Raw genomic sequence first — 19,889 nt, 5'->3', positions numbered from 1 at the left:
ACTATATTGGCCAGGCTGGTCTCCAAGTCCTGACCTCGTGATCCACCTGCCTCGGCCTCCCAAAGTGCTGGGATTACAGGCATGAACCACAACACCTGGCCAGGATTGTTTTTTTCTGTTCTGTGAAGAATGCCACCAGAACTTTGATGAGGATTGTGTTAAATCTATATATTTGCTTTGGGTAGTGTGAACATTTTAACAATATTAATTCTTCTGATCCATAAACATAGGATATCTTTTCATTTGTTCATATCTACATTTCTTTCATCAATGTTTTATGGTTTTCAAGTGTACACATCTTCCGTCTTATTGGTTAAATTCATTCCTAAGTATATGTTTTTCTTTGATGTTATTGTAAATGAGATTGTTTTCTTGATTTCTTTGTCAGCTAGGTTATTTGTATATAGAAATGCAACTGATTTTTATATGTTGAGTTTATACTTTGCAGCTTAACTGAATTGATTTAGTAGTTCTCAGAGTTTTTTGTGGAATGTTTGGAGTTTTTTACATAAAGGGTCTTGTCATCTGCAGATAGAGATAATTTTACTTCTTTAATTTAGTTGCTTTTTTTTCCTCATCAGATTGCTCTTGCAAGTACTATGTTCAATAAAAGTGATGAGACTGGGCATCCCTATCTTGTACTCAATCTTAGTAGAAAAGCTTTTAGTTATTCCCCACTGACTATGATGTAGGCCATGGGTTTCTCATAAACGGTCTTTATTATGTTGAGGAACTTTCCTTCTATACATAAACTATTAAAAGGTTTTATCAAGAAAGGTTGCTAAACTTTGTTAAATGCTTTCTCTGCATCAATTCAGGTGACCATGTGGTTTTACCTTTCATTTTGTTAATGTGATATATCACATTGATTTACATATGTTAAACCAGCCTTGCATGCCAGAGATAATTCCCACTTAATCATGTTGTATAATCTTTTTGATGTGTTGTTGAATTCTACTTCCTAAATTTTTTTTTCCTGATCAGCCACTTATTTTTATATACATATATATATATTTTATTACACTTTAAGTTCTAGGGTACATGTGCACAATGTGCAGGTTTGTTACATATGTATACATGTGCCATGTTGGTGTGCTGCACCCATTAACTCATCATTTACAGTAAGTATATCTCATAATGCTATACCTCCCCCCTCCCCCCACCCCACAACAGACCCAATGTGTGATGTTCCCCTTCCTGTGTCCAAGTGTTCTCTTTGTTCAATTCCCACCTATGAGTTAGAACATGTGGTGTTTGGTTTTTTGTCCTTGTGATAGTTTGCTGAGAATGACAGTTTCCAGCTTCATCCATGTCCCTACAAAGGACATGAACTCATAAATTTTATGGCTGCATAGTATTCCATGGTGTATATGTGCCACATTTTCTTAACCCGGTCTATCATTGTTGGACATCTGGATTGGTTCCAAGTCTTTGCTATTGTGAATAGTGCCGCAATAAACATATGTGTGTATGTGTCTTCATAGCAGCATGATTTATAATCCTTTGGGTATATACCCAGTAATGGGATGGCTGGGTCAAATGGTATTTCTAGTTCTAGATCCCTGAGGAATCGCAACACTGACTTCCACAATGGTTGAACTAGTTTACAGTACCACCAACAGTGTAAAAGTGCTACTATTTCTCCACATCCTCTCCAGCACCTGTTGTTTCCTGACTTTGTAATGATCGCCATTCTAACTGGTGTGAGATGGTATCTCATTGTGGTTTTGATTTGCATTTCTCTGATGGCCAGTGATGATGAACATTTTTTCATGTGTCTTTTGGCTGCATAAATGTCTTCTTTTGAGAAGTGTCTGTTCATATCCTTCGCCCACTTGTTGATGGGGTTGTTTGTTTTTTTCTGGTAAATTTGACTTCATTGTAGATTCTGGATATTAGCCCTTTGTCAGATGAGTAGATTGCAAAAATTTCCTCCCATTCTGTAGGTTGCCTGTTCACTCTGATGGTAGCTTCTTTTGCTGTGCAGAAGCTCTTTAGTTTAATTAGATCCCATTTGTCAATTTTGGCTTTTGTTGCCATTGTTTTTGGTGTTTTTAAACATGAAGTCCTTGCCCATGCCTATGTCCTGAATGGTATTGCCTAGGTTTTCTTCTAGGGTTTTTATGGTTTTGGGTCTAACATTTAAGTCTTTAATCCATCTTGAATTAATTTTTGTATAAGGTGTAAGGAAGGGATCCAGTTTCAGCTTTCTACATATGGCTAGCTGGGCAATGTCAACTTTGTAAATTAACTGAGAACTGTCTCAGATTTTGAGGGTTCACAAACTATACTCCAAGGATATAGTAACCAAAACATCATAGGTCTGGTACAAAAACCATGACACAAAAGCCAATGGAACAGATTAGAGAAGGTTGTAGGCTGCACTCCTACAACCATCTGATCTTTGACAAAGTCTATAATTAGAAGCAATGGGAACAGACTCCCTATTCAATGAATGGTACTAGGATAACTGTTTAGCCATATTCAGAAGATTTAAAATGGACAACTTCCTTCCAACATATTAAAAAAATCAACTTAAGATGGATTAAAGACCTAAATGTAAAACCTAAAAGTATAAAAACCCTAGACAAAAGCCCAGAACATAATATTCTGGACATAGGCAATAACAAGGATTTTATGATCAAGTTTCCAATAGCTATTGCAACAAAAACATAAATAGACAAGTGGGACCTAAGTATACTAAGGAGATTATGTTCAACAAAAGAAACTATCAGCAGAGTAAACAGACAACCGACAAAATGGGAGAAAATATTTGCAAACTATGGATCTGACAAAGGTCTCATATCCAGAACCTGTAAGGAACTTAAAAAAATTTTTAAGCAAAAACTAAACAACCTCATTGAAAAATGGGCAAAGGACAAGAACAGACACTTCTCAAAAAAGACATACATGCTGTTAACAAGAATATGAAAAAATGCTCCATTTTAAAAATCACTAATCATTAGAGAAATGCAAATGAAAACCACAATGAGATACCATTTCATACCAATCACAATGGCTACTAATAAAAAGTCAGAAAATAACAGATGTTGCTGAGGTTGCAGAGAAAAGGGAAATCTTATACACTTCCGTTGGGAATGTAAATTAATTCAGCCATTGTATAAAGCAGTGTGAAGATTTCTCAAAAAACTTAAACAGAACTACCATTTGGCGCAGCAGTCTCATTACTGGGCACATACACAAAGAAATATGAATTGTTCTATCAAATGACACATGTACTTGTATGATTATCACAGCACTATTAACAGTAGCAAAAACATGGAACCAACCTAGAGGCTCATCAGTGGTGGACTAGAAAAAAAAAAATGTGTACCGCCTGACGTGGTTGCTCACGCCTGTATTCCCAGCACTTTGGGAGGCCGAGATGGGCGGATCATCTGATATTAGGAGTTTGAGAAAAGCCTGGCCAACATGGTGAAACACCATCTCTACTAAAAATACAAAAATTAGCCAGGCATGGTGGTACATGCCTGTAGACCCAGCTACTTGGGAAACTGAGGTGGCAGAATAGCTTGAACCTGGGAGGCGAAGGTTGCAGTGGGCCCAGATTATGCCACAGCACTCCAGCCTGGGTGTCGGAGTGAGACTCTATCTCAAAAAGAAAAAAAATTGGTACATATACACCATGAAATACTGTGTAGCAACAAAAAAACAATAAATTTATGGCTTTTGCAACAAAATGGATGTAGCTGGAGGCTACATCCCACAAATTAAGCAGATTAACACAAAAACAGAAAAAGACAGCATATATTATCACCTATAAATGAGAGATAAACATTGGCTCCACATGGTCCAAAACAAGGACCAATAGATACTAGGGCCTGTGTGAGGGTAGAGGGTGAAAAATCGGTGAAGATTGAAAAATTACTTATGCCTATCAGGTACTATGCTCACTACCTCAGTGACTAAATTATTTTTTCCATGAAACCCCAGCAACATGCAATTTACCTACATAACAAAGCTGCACGTGTACCCCCTGAACCTAAAATATAAATTAAAAAAGAAAAAAATGAATATCAATAAGATACTTAGTAAACACACAAGTGTTTGGAAATCAAACAACAAACTTCTGAATAATTCACAAAGAAACATCAAAATAAAACTTAGAATACATTTTGAATTGAAAGATAAACATCTGAAGTGCTGAAAGAATAGAGATGGCTTTAGTCTCGAAACTTACATATAAAAACATTGAAATTTCAATCAGATGGCAATTGGTATGTGATTTGATAATCTACTTTAAAGTTTATACGAAACTGAGAACCCGGTTAGGTGCGGTGGCTCATGCCTGTAATCCCAGGACTTTGGGAATCAGAGGTGGGTGCAACACGAGGTCAGGAGTTCAAGACCAGCCTGGCCAAGATGGTGAAACCCTGTCTCTACTAAAAATAAAAAAATTAGCCAGGCGTGGTGATGGATGCCTGTAATCCTGGCTACTCAGGAGCCTGAGGCAGGAGAATCAATTGAACCAGGGAGGCAGAGGTTGCAGAGAGCCAAGATTATGCCACTGCACTCTAGCCTGGGTGAGAGAGCAAGGCTTCATCTCAAAAAGAAAAAAAAAAAAATTGAGAACCCAGATAAAAATAGCTAACTTTCTTCTCCAAAAGAAAAAAGAATGACAGTGAGTAGAGGTCTGCTTCTATTGGCTATCAGATAATCTTATAACCCTACAGTACTGTGGTGGTACGAAGCACATCCACAGCAGTAGTGTGACCGTCAGGTATCAAATAGACAAGAACTTCAGAGAAGACAAATGTAACATTTGAAATCAGTAGAAAGAAGTATTACTTTGAGAAAGTTGGTTATTATTTGGAATTTGAAGAAATAAACAATAAATTTCAAATAACTTAAAGAATGAAATAAAAAATAAAATTAATACTACAAGGAAGTTTTTAAAATATTCATGCCTTTTCCTCATGACATGAAATATAAATATCATGAAGTAAAAGACAGACAAATTTTACTAACTAAACAAACTCATTTTTAGCAAACACTTGATAAATACCATTGAGACAAATAAATTAGAAGAAAATATTTACATGGTATATATAACAAAAAAATGGATATTCAGAATGTATAGAGATTATCAAATAATAAAGAACTTGCAAATCCCAGTGGGAAAATGAGCAAAGAATATAAAGAGGAATTACACAGAAGAAAACGTATGCTATGTATTAACAAATGAAAAGTTGCTTCATCTGTGTAATGGCCAAAATGTATGTTAAAATATAAGACAGCATTTCTCCCATCTCATTGGTAAAATAAAAAATACATATGCACTTCATAAATTCATATGTCACTTCAGCATTTTTACAGTTAATATCACTTTTGTTATTCTTAAAAAGTTGAAAAATTAAATGAGTTAAAAGCAGTATGAGAGAAATTATTGCAAATATGTGTATAATATTGTTAGGAGAAACCCAAGTAAGACCCCAGAGGTGTAAGTTTAAATTGAAGACTAATCAGTTTATATATATAATAATTTAAAAATATTCTGTGCATTATAAAACTCACAAAAGAATTAAAAGGCAAAAAAATCAAGAAAAAATAATTTCAAAATAAATGCCACAACACAGCTTCCTGTGGTCAAGATTTCTCTCCATTCTACTTTGACGTCTAAATAGATCTTTGGGCATCTAGACTAATATTGGGTTTGTATACTCCCAGAAAATTCAAGACTACTAAACGCACCCAACCTTACAACCCCGAAGCATATTATCACATAGGGGTCTTGTGTAGTTTGCTAAAATGTAATGTACTACCTGTCACAGAATGAGCACTTAACTGATGTTGGGTGTGATGTAGCATAGTAGCAAAAAACTTTAGAATTAGGCCACAGTGTTTTTAAGGGCTTTGCACGACCCATTATTTTTTGGCACTTAATTTAAAAAAATCTGCATGCTTATTTTAATTTTGTCATTACTTGCCATTGTATCCATCTCAGCACACTGATCAAATAATCACAAAAATCACAGAGATGATACTCTGCTAATTAAGAAAGTTTTCTTTTTTTCTTTGTGAAACCATTCTTCATTTTTTTTTTTTTTGGTATTTAGAAATAATTTCTAGTGCTAATTTATTTTTAGTGACATTTTGCACAGACTCTCCAAATAAAAAACCAAGAACGACCAATTTTATTGGGAAAATACTAAATGTAACAAACTTTATTTTTTGATGAGTGAAGACTATTTTTCTAATTTTGCTTAAAAATTTTAGGTTTAGCCTTAGGTAATAAAGTTAATAGAGAGAATGTTTACTACCATGCATAAATTCAAAAGACTTGTTAGTTTAGATTGTCAATTTAATGTTGAACAAAGTTGCTTGAAATTTTCAGATGAAATAACTTTAGGTAAGCTTAAGAAAAGTTTGATTGCATTTTGTTTATAATCTTGTACTTCTATTTTCATTCTGATTTAGTAGGCTGCACACTTTTTAAAAAAAAAATTTCAGGTGGATTGTGGCCATTCCTTTTCCTCTTAAGTCTTATTTGATTGTTCTTCCAGAACAAATATTAACATTTGCAGTCCTGCATCTGGATCAAGCAGTTTGGTTAGAGAAATTTAAACCTTTAAATCACAAAACAGCTTATTTTCAATTGTCATAGCTGACACTGAATCTATGCCTAATGGTGTAAGCAATGTGGATATTGGAATGTCTCTGAGTTTTTATATTAATAAATTTACTAGCTAAATAAGTGATGTAATCATCTGTTGATGTCTGAGATGAAGAGTGAGTAAAAACCACATAAAAGTCTTCCATAAAACTAAACTTATCTTGGAATTCTTTGTAAAAATAATTTCTGTGAGATGGAACTTTGGAAAGTTTTCCTGTAATTTCTTGAAATCAAATTTAACAGTGCATGGTAGTCTGACCATTCTGCATTCTCCTTTCTGTATAAAAAACATCACTATTTCAAGGCCAGAGAGCCCCCTTTACATGGCTTGTTAAGAATTCTTCAAAATCCAGCATGATTCAAGATACTGATGGATTTTGGGTATTTCAAGAGAATTCCTCTGGTGGCTAAAATGCTTTGAAGATCATTTGTGCAGCAGTCACTCAAGATGAAAGACTCCCTAGTTAATTGTCCAGTGAGATTACAGTTCCTGTGACAGTGGCAGAAGAAGTCCAGCAAGGAGTTAGCAGCAGCCTAGTTGGCTTTTGTTGCATTCTCAATGAAAGCAGAAACTAATGAATAGCACTCAAAGTAATCAAGTTCCTGCTTTCTTGTCAAAAATTGAAGATGTACTGCTCCAGCTACTTTGGGGCTTAACACTTTCTCCAATTAAGAAGAGATGTTGAGAGCTTCTAGGAACCCATCATCCAAGACTGCGGCACTAAAAAAACACACCTGAGATTTTGCTCTACGAAGTTATTTTCTATTAAATTCACTGCCTTTTTCACATCAGAGTGAATAATGACAAAACATTGTAGCTTAGTCGTTTTGCACTCTTCATTCTGATTTTGCAGCAACTTGCATTCCTTTCAACTGCTCATAAGTTAAATTTCTCAATGAAGTAATCACAACAGAACTATCTCCTTGGACAGTTTGGAGTTTCCTGAAAAAAAACAGATATACTACCATATGATCCAAAAATCCCACTGCTTGGTATATACCCAAAAGAAAGGAAATGAGTATATCAAAGAGATTTCTGCACTCCTAGGTTTGCTGCAGCACTGTTTACAATTACTAATATTTGAAAGCAACCTAAGTGTCCATCAACAGATGAATGAAGAAAATGTGGTACATATACACAGTGGAGTACTATTCAGCCATAAAAATGAAAGCCTGTCATTTGCAACAACATGGATGGAACTGAAGATGATTATGTCAAGAAAAATAAGCCAGGCACAGAAATACAAACATCATGTGTTCTCGCTTATTTCCGGGATCTAAAAATAAAAACAATTAAACTCATGGACGTAGAGAGTAGAAGGATGATTACCAGAGCTTGGGAAGGGTAGTGAGAGAGTGAGGGGGAGGTAGGAATTGTTAATGGATACAAAAAACAAAAAAGAAATAATATATAATAAAAACCTACTATTTGATAGCAAACCCAGGTGACTATAGTCAATAATAACTTAATCATATATTTGAAAATAACATAAAGAGTGTAATTGGAATATTTGTAACTCAAAGAATCACTGAGGGGATACCCCATTCTCTAGGATGTGCTTTTTTTCACATTGAATGCCCGTGTCAAAACATCTCATGTACTCCATAAATACTATGTACCCACAAACATTAAAAATAAAATACAAAAAAGAACCATCTTCTCTCTGTGTAACAAATACTATAGTTTCAAATCCAAGGCTAGAGAGCTGCCCTGAAATAATATACACTCTTTTGACTTGAAGAGTTTTCTCTTTGCTCTATACATAGGTATTTGTAGAAGTTAACATTCTGGAACACTGACTTCCAACACAGCAAGAGGGACAGCCACACATGTAAAATACAATGACAGAGCAGGACTCACAAGTGCATTCTGCTGAAAAGGTGAGCAAGCCAAATTCAAATTATTTTTCAAACTCATTGATTTTAGCTACCGAAAGGTCTATAGGACATTATCAGACAGAGTTTTTGTAGAACCTAAGATTTAGAAAGTGAACTTGAATGTGACTGTGATCATTATGCAACAACTGCTGTAAAAACTCAGGTTGGTGTTGGCCACAAAGGACTACAACACTCTTGTGTTGCCTTGACAAAGCTCCTCTAAACATGGCAGTAAACTTAGTGCCTTTCAGTATTCTCCTTTTTCCCATAGACTCACAGACAGCGAGAGACACCTGGCTCCCCCACATCACTTCCTTAGCAGCCAAGAACAGCATGTCACCCAGAATGAATTCTGGCTGTGGCAGAAAATGGCCCACATAGAGAGATGTCTGGCATTTGGTAGTACCTGGGTGAGAGCTTTCCAAGCTCTTAGGAAGTATACAATGCATAAGGTCCATTTCTAAATACTAGAAACATCTTGCTGTGAAAGCACATAAAGTCCATAGTTAAGATGATGATGCCATGCAGAAAAACACGTGGCAATGTAACCACCAGTCTTTACTTTTTCAATGGCCTTGCACATGGCTGTTACTGTACTGCTGAAGTCCAGCGTCAGCAGTTTATGTTTCCCCATTGTGTCATCAGCCCAATGCAAAGTACCATCAAAATAACACCTGGAGGTGCTAACAGGAAAATAATCTGAGTAAATCCACATTTGCTGTCTCAACTTCCAAAGACTGGTCATCAAACAGTGTGTTTCTGTCTTTCTATCTTGGCTGCCACCTTTACTACACTGTAGGGGTCTGAGGTTTGTAGAGTGGATATCGCAGAGTTCTGGTTGTCCTTGTGAGGTTTGATATGATAAACTTTTTAAAAGAAAGTAGGCCTGATTACAGAAATGAGTATTGTCCCGACAATCCACATAGAATTCTGGGGCATTCTTCTCTTTACATTCAATAATAGCTTCCGCTAAACTTGTAATGTTCTGTGGGAATGTATCACTTCTTCACCTTCTTGCTCACTTCCCACCTTCTTGCTCAGAGCTCCAATGGGCTCAGAGCAATGTTTGGAGTGCCAATCACCCTGAGCTCAACCTTGCTCTGAGCATCATCTTCTCTGAGCTCCATCTTACACTGAGAAGCACCTGCTGCAAGCTCCATCTTGCTTGGAGCTCCTTCTTGCTCCAAGCTCTATCTACTCCAAGCTCCATCTTGCTCAGAGCTCCATCTGCTCCAAGCTCCATCTTGCTCGAAGTGCCAATCGCTCCAAGCACTATCTTGCTGTGAGCAACATCTGCATAGACATTCATCTTACTCAGAGCTCCATCTAGTCAGAGATCCATCCACTTTGAGCTCCATCTTGCTAGGAGTTCCAATCACTCCAAGCCCCATCTTGCTGGGAGCTCCAATCACTTCTAGCTCCATTTTGCTCTGAGCACCATGTGGACAGAGCTCATCTTACTCTGAGCTACATGTGCTCTGAGCTCTACCTTGCTTGGAGCTGTAATCACTGTGGGCTCCGTTTTGCTCTGAGCTCCAACTAAAACCAAGCAACGTCTCCTCCAAACTCCATCTTGCTTAGAGCTCCTTTTTTGCTCAGAGCTCTGTCTGCTCTGAGCTGCATCTTGCTCAGAGCTCCAATTGCTCAGAGCATGTTCAGAGTGCCAATCATTCTGAGCTCCCTCTTGCTCTGAGTACCATCTGCTCTGAGCTCCATCTTACACCAGCAACATCTGCTCCAAGTTCCATTTTGTTTGGAGCTCCTTCTTGCTCAGAGGTCTATCTGATCTGAGCTCCATCTGGTTCGGAGATCCAATCACTCCAAGCTCCATCTTGCTCTGAGCACCATCTTCTTGAAGCTCCATCTACTCCCAGCTCCATCTTGCTTTAGAGCTTCCATCACTCTGAGCTCCACTTTGCTCAGAGCTCCATTTACTCAGAGCTCCATTTGCTCCAAGCTCCATCTTTCTCAGAGCTCCAATCCCTCCAAACTCCATCTTGCTCTGAGTACCCTCTGCTCAGAGCTCCATATTCTCGGAGCTGCATCTTCTAGCTCCATCTTGCTGATATCTCCAATCACTTCCAGCTCCATTTTGTTCTGAGCATCATGTGCTCGAAGCTCCATCTTACTGTAAGCAGCATGTTCTCTGAGCTCCATCTTGCTCTGAGCACCATCTGTTCTGAACTCCATCTGAAACTGAGGAACATTTGCCCCAAGCTCCATCTTGCTTAGAGCTCCTTCTTGCTCCGAACTTCGTTTGCTCCAAGCTCCATCTGCTCCGAGCTCCAGCTTGCTGAGAGCTCCAATTACTTCCAGCATCATTTTGCTCTGAACACCATCTGCTCAAGCTACATCTTACTGTGAGCAACATGTTTTCTGAGCTACATCTTGCTCAGAGCTGCATCTGCTCCAAGCCCCATTGTGCTCGAAGCTCTAATCACTCCGAGGCTGATCTTGCTCTGATCACTATCTGCTCAGAGTTCCAATCCTCCAGAGTAAAGTTTTTAAGTTCCAATCATTTCAAGCTCCATGTTGTTACGAGCATCTGCTCTGAGCTCCATCTTACACCGAGCAACATCTGCTCCAAGTTCCATCTTGCTTGGAGCTCCTTTTTGTTCAGAGCTCTATCTGCTCCAAGCTCAATCTTCTCTGAGCTCCATCTTGCTTGGAGCTCTAATCATTCTGAGCTCCATCATGCTCTGAGCACCATCTGCTCTGAGCTCCATCTGAAACTGAGCAACATCTGCACAAAGCTCCATCTTGCTTAGATCTCCTTATTGCTCAGAGTTTCATCTGCTCTGAGTACCATCTTGTTCAGAGCTCCATCTTGCTCAGAGTTCCAACTGCTCAGAGAACTGTTGAGAGTTCCAACGACTCCAAGCTTTATCTTGCTCTGGGCTCCATCTTACACAGAGGAACATCGGCTCCAAGCTCCATCTTGCTTGGAGCTCCTTCTTGTCTGAGCTATATTTGCTCTGAGCTGGACACTCCATGCTCCATGGTGCTCTGAGTTCCATCTGCTAAGAGCTCCATCTGCTCCAAGCTCCATCTTGCTTGGAGCTCCAATCACTCCAAGCTCCATCTTGCTCTGAGCACCATCTGTTCTGAGCTCCACCTTGCTCAGAGCCCCAGTCACTCCTAGCTCCATCTGGCTCTGAGTACCATCTGCTCGGAGCTCCATCTTGCTCTGAGACCACAGGCTTGGTGCTCCATCATACTCAGAAACATCTGCTCCGAGCTTCATATTAATCGGAGCTCCATCTCACCTGGAGCTCCATCTGCTCTGAGCTCCATCAAGCTTGGAGCTCATCTTGCTCAGAGGTCCATCTTGCTTTGAGAACCATCTGCTCCATGTATGGTTATAGCAGCACTATTCACAATGGTAAAGACTTGGAACCAACCCATATGCCCATCAATGATAGACTGGAAAAATAAAATGTACTACATATACATCATGGAATACTACACAGCCATAAAAAGGTATGAGATCAAGTCCTCTGCAGGGACAGGGATGAAGCTGGAAGCCATCATCCTCAGCAAGCTAACACAGGAACAGAAAACCAAACACTGCATGTTCTCGCTCGTAAGTGGGAGCTGAACAATGAGAACACATTTTAATACTATTACGCCCTCTGAAAATGGTCTCTATTTCTCTTAACAAAGGATATTTATACTTTGTAATTTTTTTCTCTCTAAAGGATTGTGGCTTCTTCTGTCTGTGCCAGTCTAGGGCCCAGGTTGACTACCTCACTTTGAAATGACCCACCCCATGTCCGTCCGCACATGGTTGGTCCCTCCTGTAAACTGTTTGTTCACAGACTGTTACCACCTGTGGGTCATTTGACGGGAGGTGACCTCACACAGCAATGCACCAGGCAAATCACCAACTGAAAGAATCACTGAAACAACATGTGTCTGCTTATTTCAAAGAATGAATAGGAGTCAGTTGAAGGTGATTAAGTCAGCAACATCTTAAGGTGATAAGATGTCAGTAACATCTTAGATGACCAAGAATAATCTTGTGGGCCCCAAGAACATATGACAATATGGATTACGCCAGCAAAAATCTCACCCATCAGACAACAGCAAATGACACTGTGGCTCAAATGTTAAATGTCCTCTCTTGATGTGTGAAAGCACATGACCAGCAGGAGGCAAAAACATCAGGGAGACAAAGGCTTTGTTGCATATCTGTGGACTTCAGTCTCCAGTGAGACACTCAGAGCCTACATCTCCTCTGTTACCACTGCTGTTTTGATTGCACAGAACATTTCCATATATGTTTCATTCTACAAGAAACGTTTCGACAAACATACATCTGATAAAAGGCTGTCTTCAAAATGTCTAAGCAACTAACACTACTCACTAGCAAAAACACAAAAGAGAAACTAATAACCAAACAAAACCTGAATAGACATTTCTACAAAAAAGACATAACATTGAAAACAAGTTTTAAAAACTTGAATAACATCACAAACCATGAGAAAGATATAAATCAAAACAACACACATATCTCACTATAATTCAAATGGATGTTATCAAAGTGATACAATATATTAAAAGAGACACAAATGCTGGTGGAAATTTCCAGAGAAAAACTCATTTGGTAAGAATGTTAATTAGTATACAGCCGGGCACGGTGGCTCACGCCTGTAATCCCAGCACTTTGGGAGGCCGAGGCCGGCAGATCACGAGTTCAGGAGATCGAGACCACCCCGGCTAACACGGTGAAACCCCGTCTCTACTAAAAGTATAAAAAATTACCTGGGCGTGGTGGCGGGTGCCTGTAATCCCAGCTACTCAGGAGGCTGAGGCAGGAGAATGGCGTGAACCCAGGAAGCAGAGCTTGCAGTGAGCTGAGATCATGCCACTGCACTCCAGCCTGGGCAATACAGCGAGACTCCATCCAAAAAAAAAAAGAATGTTAATTAGTATACATACTACAGAAACCAGTGGGAGGTTCCTCCAAAAATTAAACCTACAACTACCACTTCATCTAACAATTCTACTACTAAGTATACTTTCAGTGCCAAAGAAATCAGTTTATGCAAGAGGTATCAGCCATCCTATGTGGACTGCAGCACTATTCACAATCGCCAAGATAAGGAATAAACTTACCTGCCCATCCACAGATGAAGGGATAAAGTAACTGTGGTGGACATACACAAAGAGAATAGTCTTCAGCCAGAAAATCAGAATGAAATTTCATCCTTTGGAGCCATACTGTTGAACCTGGAGGACAGCATGGTAAATGACCTGAACCAGGTAGAGAAAGAAAAACATTGCCACATCTCACTCATGTAGAACCCAAAATAAAAGGCTTTATTGCAATAGATCTAGAGAGCACAACAGTGGTTTCCAGAGATTGGAAGGAAGCAGGGGCATGGGCAGGGATCAGAAATAGGTACAAAATTACACTTAGATGAGAGCAATGAATTGTTCCTCTCTGTTCCACAGCACTGTGACCAGAGGTTAACAAAACATCACAGCTTTTTCACAAAATCTGGAAAAGAAGATTCCAAATGTTTCCACCACAAATAAATTAACAACTGTTTGTGATAACAGAGACTCTAAATATCCTGATTTTAACATTCCTCTGTGTCTGCATTAACCAAAATGCCCCACTCTAACTCCCCCCATTGTATACCTTTACTATATGGCCAACCTTTTAAAAAATATGTAAATATGCAATGCTAAAATTCATGCAGACCACAAAACACCCTGAATTTCTAAAGCAATCCTGAGAAGTCCACACTACATTGGTTGTGTCACACTTCCCGATTTTAATTTTCATTGAAAAGCTAGGGACCCCATTTCACACAGAGCAGTGGAACAGATTAGAGGACCCAGATGTAAACCCACACCCCTAACACCATCTGATCTTCAAAAAAATCCACAAAAATAAGCTTTGGAGAAAGGACTCCCTCCTCTCAATAGATGGTGCCAGGATAAAGTGCTAGCCAGTTGCAGAAGAAAAACAGTGGGCCCCTGTGTCTCACCCTGCACAGAAATTAACTCAAGATGAATGAAAGATGTAAACACAAGACCTCAAACTATGAGAAGCCTGCAAGAGAACTTGGAAATACCCTTCTTGACAGAGGATTTGGCAGAGCATGTCTATGCCTAAGTCCCCAAAAGCAAGTGCAACTAAAACAATTATTGACAAGTGGGGCCTAATACACAAAAGAGCTGCTGCACAGCAGAAGCAATTACCAACACAGTAAACAGACAGCCTACACAATGGGAGAAAATGTTCCCACATACGCATCTGATGAAGTCTAATATCCAGGATCTACCTCAAATACATTAAGCAAATAAATCAGAAAAACAAAAACTCGATGAAGAAAGGGTAAGGGGCATGAAAACATGCATCTCAAAAGAAGGTTTACAGCAACCAACAGACAAGATATCATTGCTTTACCTCAGGAATCATCAGAGAAATGCAAAGCTAAAGGCCCATGAGATAGTATTTCACACATTCTGATGAATGACAATTATGACACAGTCCACAAGAATGAACACCAGCAAGGCAGAGGAGGAGGGATGCTGGTCTGCTGTTGGTGGAAATGCAAACTAGTTCGGACACCATGGAAAGCAATGTGGGGATTTCTCAAATAACTTTCTCGACATCACTAAACCTCACAAAAAAATGTCCATGAAAACCACACTAAGATTCCGTCTCATTCCACTCAGAATGAGTACTACCAAAAACAAAACACAAATTTTTGAAGGTGACATCCAGTGTAGACTTACAGAAAGGTAACCTCTTAAACACTATTGGTGAGGATGTAAATTAGTATACACACTATAAAAAACAGCTAGAGGTTTCTGAAAAAATTCACAGTACAACTACCATGTCAGCTAACAGCCCCACCACTGGTTCCACATTTAAAGCAGTTGAAGTCCCTAGGTTGAAGAGAGCTATCTGCCTTCCCACGGGTACTAAAGCACTCTTAACTGTGGCCAAGGTAGAGAACCAACCTACCTGTTCAAACACAGCTGCAGGGATGAGGAAACTGCTGTACAGATACACCACGGAATATGTTTCAGCCAGAAACCTTTGGGAAATCCTGCCATCTGCAGCCACATGAAGAAACCTGAAGAACATGAGGTTCAAAGAATAAGGCTGGTAGAGAAAGTCCCATGCCACGTGATCTCAGGCATGCAGACTGAAGAAAGCTTTATCTTCTAGAAGTGGAAAGTTCAATAAGGCTTACCAGAGGCTGCTGGGGAAGTGGAGGCAGTCTCAGAAGGAATCAGTGATGGGTACAAAGTTACTCTCAGATGAGACTGATCAATTCTGGCCTTCTATTCCACAGCAGGGTGACTAGCCTTAACACAAATGTATCATATGTTTCAAAGTAGCTAGAAGGAAAGATTCTGAATGTTGTTACCACTCAAAAATAATAACTATATGAGATGAAGAGATGCTAAATAACCTGATTTTATCATTACTCAACATATACACGTATCAAAATCTTCCTTGTACCTTTTAATTGTATACATTTAGTATATGACAAATAGTGTTTTAAGAAATATAAAGAAACAATGCCAAAATTTATGTGGAAATGTGAAACACCCTGAATTTCCAAAGTTATTCTGAGAAATACAAACCATATGGGATGTGTCACATTCCCTGAGTTCTAATTAAATGAAAATCTGTAGTTAACAAACCCATACGTTACTGGCATACACAGAGAAACACAGACCAGTGAGCAAAATGAATGTGCTCGATAATAAACAAAAATTTATATGGAATGAACACATTTTTCAAAACACCACCAAAATGACACAACGGGGAAGATTTCCAAAACTAGATATCCATATGCAAAAGAATAATACAGGACTCTTATGGTACTAGATACACAATAATCAACTCAAAATGATTAAAGATTATACACAAAACTTGCAACCATAAAGCTCCTATAAAGACAACCTCAGGTGTGCGTATATTTAGGGCAACTTGGATGTATGCTTAGGGTTCGCAAAAAGTAAACAAAAATACAAGGGAAAAAAATTATTGACAATGAACTGCTTTGGTAGTGATTTGTGATTTTGTTTTTTCTTGATTAGTAACCAACAGCACAGCCACCAAGAAATTATGCACATGTGGGACCACGTCAAGCTGAAGCGTTTGTGCCCAACAAAGGAAACAATAAAGAAAATAAAAAGGCACACTAAAAATTACAAGTTTGGGATAAGGGATTATTTTTGAAAAGGTACAAGCGAGTCATACTACCAGCTGGCAAAAAAAAAACAAAAACAAACAAAAAAAAAAAAACAACAGAACAATTGCCAGACAAAAACTGGGCAAATAACCGGATTAGATATTTTTCTAAAGAAGACAGGAAACTGACCCAATGTCTACAAAAACGTGGTTAACATTACTACTCACGAGAAAAATGCAGATCAAAACCACACTCAGATCTTATCTCACTCCAATAGAATGAACATTACAAAAAGATCAAAATATTTAAAAAGACAATTCCTGGTATGAATTTCCAGAAAGGGGAACTGTTTGTGGAAACATAAATTAGTATTAACACTATAAAAAACAGTTGGAGGTCTTGCAAAGAATAGGAAAAAAAGAAATACCATATCATCTAGCAGTCCCATTACTGGGTATAAATTCAACCTACCTGTTCATCCACAGATAAAGAGATCAAGAAACTCTCATATACATACACTAGGAAATATTCTCCAGCCATCAAAATAATGAAACAGTGTCATTTAGAGCAACACAGATGAACCTGGAACACATTATGTTAAATGTAATGAGCTAGGCCTAGAAAGACAAACACTGCATGATACCACTCGTGAAATCTTAAGATGTTTATCTTAATGAAGTAGAAAGCACAATATTGGTTACCAGAGTTTGGGAGATAGAGGGGGAATGGGGAAGGATTGATTATGGAAACAAAGTTATCTTAACATTAAAGGAATAAATCTGAAGTTCTCCTCCTCAGCCTGGTGACTGGAGTAAACAATATCATATTTTTCTAGAGCAAGAAGGGAGAATTTTGAATGTTCTCCCCACAAAAAAAAAAAAAAAAAAAATGCCTGGACGAGCAAATATAGATCCTAAGTACCCTGATTTGATCATTACCCAACCTATATGTATGAAAATGTACCCCTAATTATGGACCTTTATGTTGTGAAAAAAAGTTAATAGAAATAAATAGGTATTGCTAAAAATCACAGGGAACCACAAAAGCAATGAATATCTAAAGGAATCCTCAGAAATACAAAGTGAAGACCCACAATCCTCAATATCAAATTACACTGCCAAGTTGTAGTTATACAGCTGATATATGATACTTGCATAAACTATGGACAAAAACAGGGAGAACAAAAACATGATCAACACAAATATGGACACAGTCAACTGACTTTGATAAAGAACACTGCAATGTGGAAGGCAGAGAATGAGTACCTTTGAGAAAAATGATATTCAGATGCAGAAGTGAGAAATAGGACCTTATTTTACACGATGTATGAAAATGAACACCCCCTCCCCCAAATTGAAGGCAAAACAAAAGACCATAAACCACAAAATGTTTTTAACTAAAACACAGGATGAGCATATATTTTGGGTCACTTGAATCTCTGCTCACCTTTGCAAAGAGGAAAATAAACAAACACCCTAGAAGAAAAACCTCATTGACAATTAAATGCTTTGTCACTGATATATATTTTCTTATATGGGTGACAAAAATTACATGCATGAAACGCAAAAATAAATATATGGGACTATGTCAACATGAAAAGTTTCTGCACATCAAAGAAAACTACTTTCCAAATTAAAAAGCATCCTATAGATTAGGCAAAAATTTCAGGCAATCATGTAATTCACGAGGAGTTGTCATCTAACATGTACACAAAAAACACTACAAAGTAGCAAAAGCATCCAATCTAATATTTTGCAAAGAACCTGAACAGACAATTCTGCACAGCCATAAAATCGAACAACAAATAAGAGATAAGGTCCTCAAAATAAACTATTCATTAGAAAACTGTAATTCAAAACCACACACAGATAATCTCACACTTATTGAATATTCCTAGATTTTTTATTTAAAAAATAAGAGGGGCTGGGAATGGTGTCTCATGCCTGTAATCTCTGCACTTTGCGAGGCCGAGGCAGGTGGATCACCTGAGGTCAGGAGTTTGAGACCAGCCTGACCAATATCGTGAAACCCCATCTCTACTAAAAATACAAAAATTAGCTGGGCATGGTGGCGGCGCCTGTAGTCCCAGCTACTCCGGAGGCCGAGACAGGAGACTTGTTTAAAACCAGGCAGAGGCTGCAGTCTGCCGAGATGGCGCCACTGCACTCCAGCCTGGAAGACAGAGCAAGACTCCATCTCAAAACAAAAACAAAACAAACCCCAAACCAAAAATAATAGGAATGCGGGTATGGTTTTGGAGAAAGGGAAACTCATACACTGTAGGTGGAAATGAAAATTAGGATACACACCATGGAAAACAGCTAAATAGCTGGAGACTCCTCAAAGAACTGAAACTACAGATGTCCCCTGCTCTAGCGAGGTCTCTTTTTAAAGGTGCTGAGGCATCAAAAATAATCCTAGACTCCAGCTCAGAGGCCCCTGAGGCTCGGAGGGACCCAGGTCCGGCGTTTCACCGCCAGCTCTGGGCCAGGGCGCTCCTATATGCTGGACGCGGGTCGGACATTGGCATAGCCTTCCCGGCCGGGGTGCGGACGCTGCAGTAGCCAGGACCCCACAACCGCCCCCACGCGGAGGACTCGGGCCCAGATGCCCACGAAGAAGTGAAAGCACGAAAACAGGGAGAGGCAGGGAAGGAGCCGGGAGGGTTCCCGGTGGGGTCCACGCCCCCGCCACTTACCGCGGAGACCTGCCTCCTACTCCACCATCACATGGAACCCACCACTGCTTCTCCGAAGCTCGCTCTGACCACGCCGCTGCTGCTGCAGGGGCCTCGCAGGAAGTGCAGTCTCAGCTTCCGTAGGGACACGCACGCTGGCAGCATCCCTCGTGCCAGGTTGAAGCTCCACCCCCTCTTAAAGGGACGCGGCTCGGACTTGCCAGAAGCAGCTTTGGGTGGCAACACAGGCTGAGCCTCTGCCCAGCCCCAGGGGGCGACGAAAGACCCCTGGTCTCTCATCCTCCCCAGCTTTCGGGCCCTAGAAGTCGCAGGGACGCTCCCTGTGACCCCCTCCCCGAGATCGGCTCCCTTTGCCTAGGGAGCACCCGGGACCTGCCCCTGCCCTCCTCTGGACCTCAGTTTCACCATCCGCAAAGGAAGCAGCCTCGCTAGAGCTCTGGGGTTCCTCAAGCTTGGCGTCTCAGGATCCAGGGTGTGCTCCCCTGCCCCTCTGCAGAGGGGGTCCAGAGAA

General features: G+C 39.5%; 1 pseudogene across 2 annotated transcripts in view; it reads right to left on the bottom strand.

Annotated features, from left to right (window-relative positions):
- DUXAP9 (double homeobox A pseudogene 9) overlaps positions 1–19,468 on the bottom strand; it is a 45,121-nt pseudogene extending 25,653 nt beyond the window's left edge. The window contains exons 1-6 of one of the 2 annotated variants that reach the window (NR_122112.1): positions 19,379–19,468; positions 17,152–17,262; positions 15,730–15,877; positions 15,498–15,609; positions 13,631–13,744; positions 13,277–13,412 (exon numbers count right to left, since the gene is read on the bottom strand). The product of NR_122112.1 is annotated as a double homeobox A pseudogene 9, transcript variant 2 (transcript). The remainder of the gene's footprint in view (positions 1–13,276; positions 13,413–13,630; positions 13,745–15,497; positions 15,610–15,729; positions 15,878–17,151; positions 17,263–19,378) is intronic. The other variant, NR_122111.1, reaches the window with a different exon arrangement.
- Between the last annotated feature and the right edge of the window lie 421 nt (positions 19,469–19,889).

The sequence above is a fragment of the Homo sapiens genome, chromosome 14 (assembly GCF_000001405.40).
Source record: "Homo sapiens chromosome 14, GRCh38.p14 Primary Assembly".
NCBI classification, from domain to species: Eukaryota; Metazoa; Chordata; class Mammalia; order Primates; family Hominidae; genus Homo; species Homo sapiens.
This window is presented reverse-complemented; position numbering and strand designations above follow the sequence as displayed.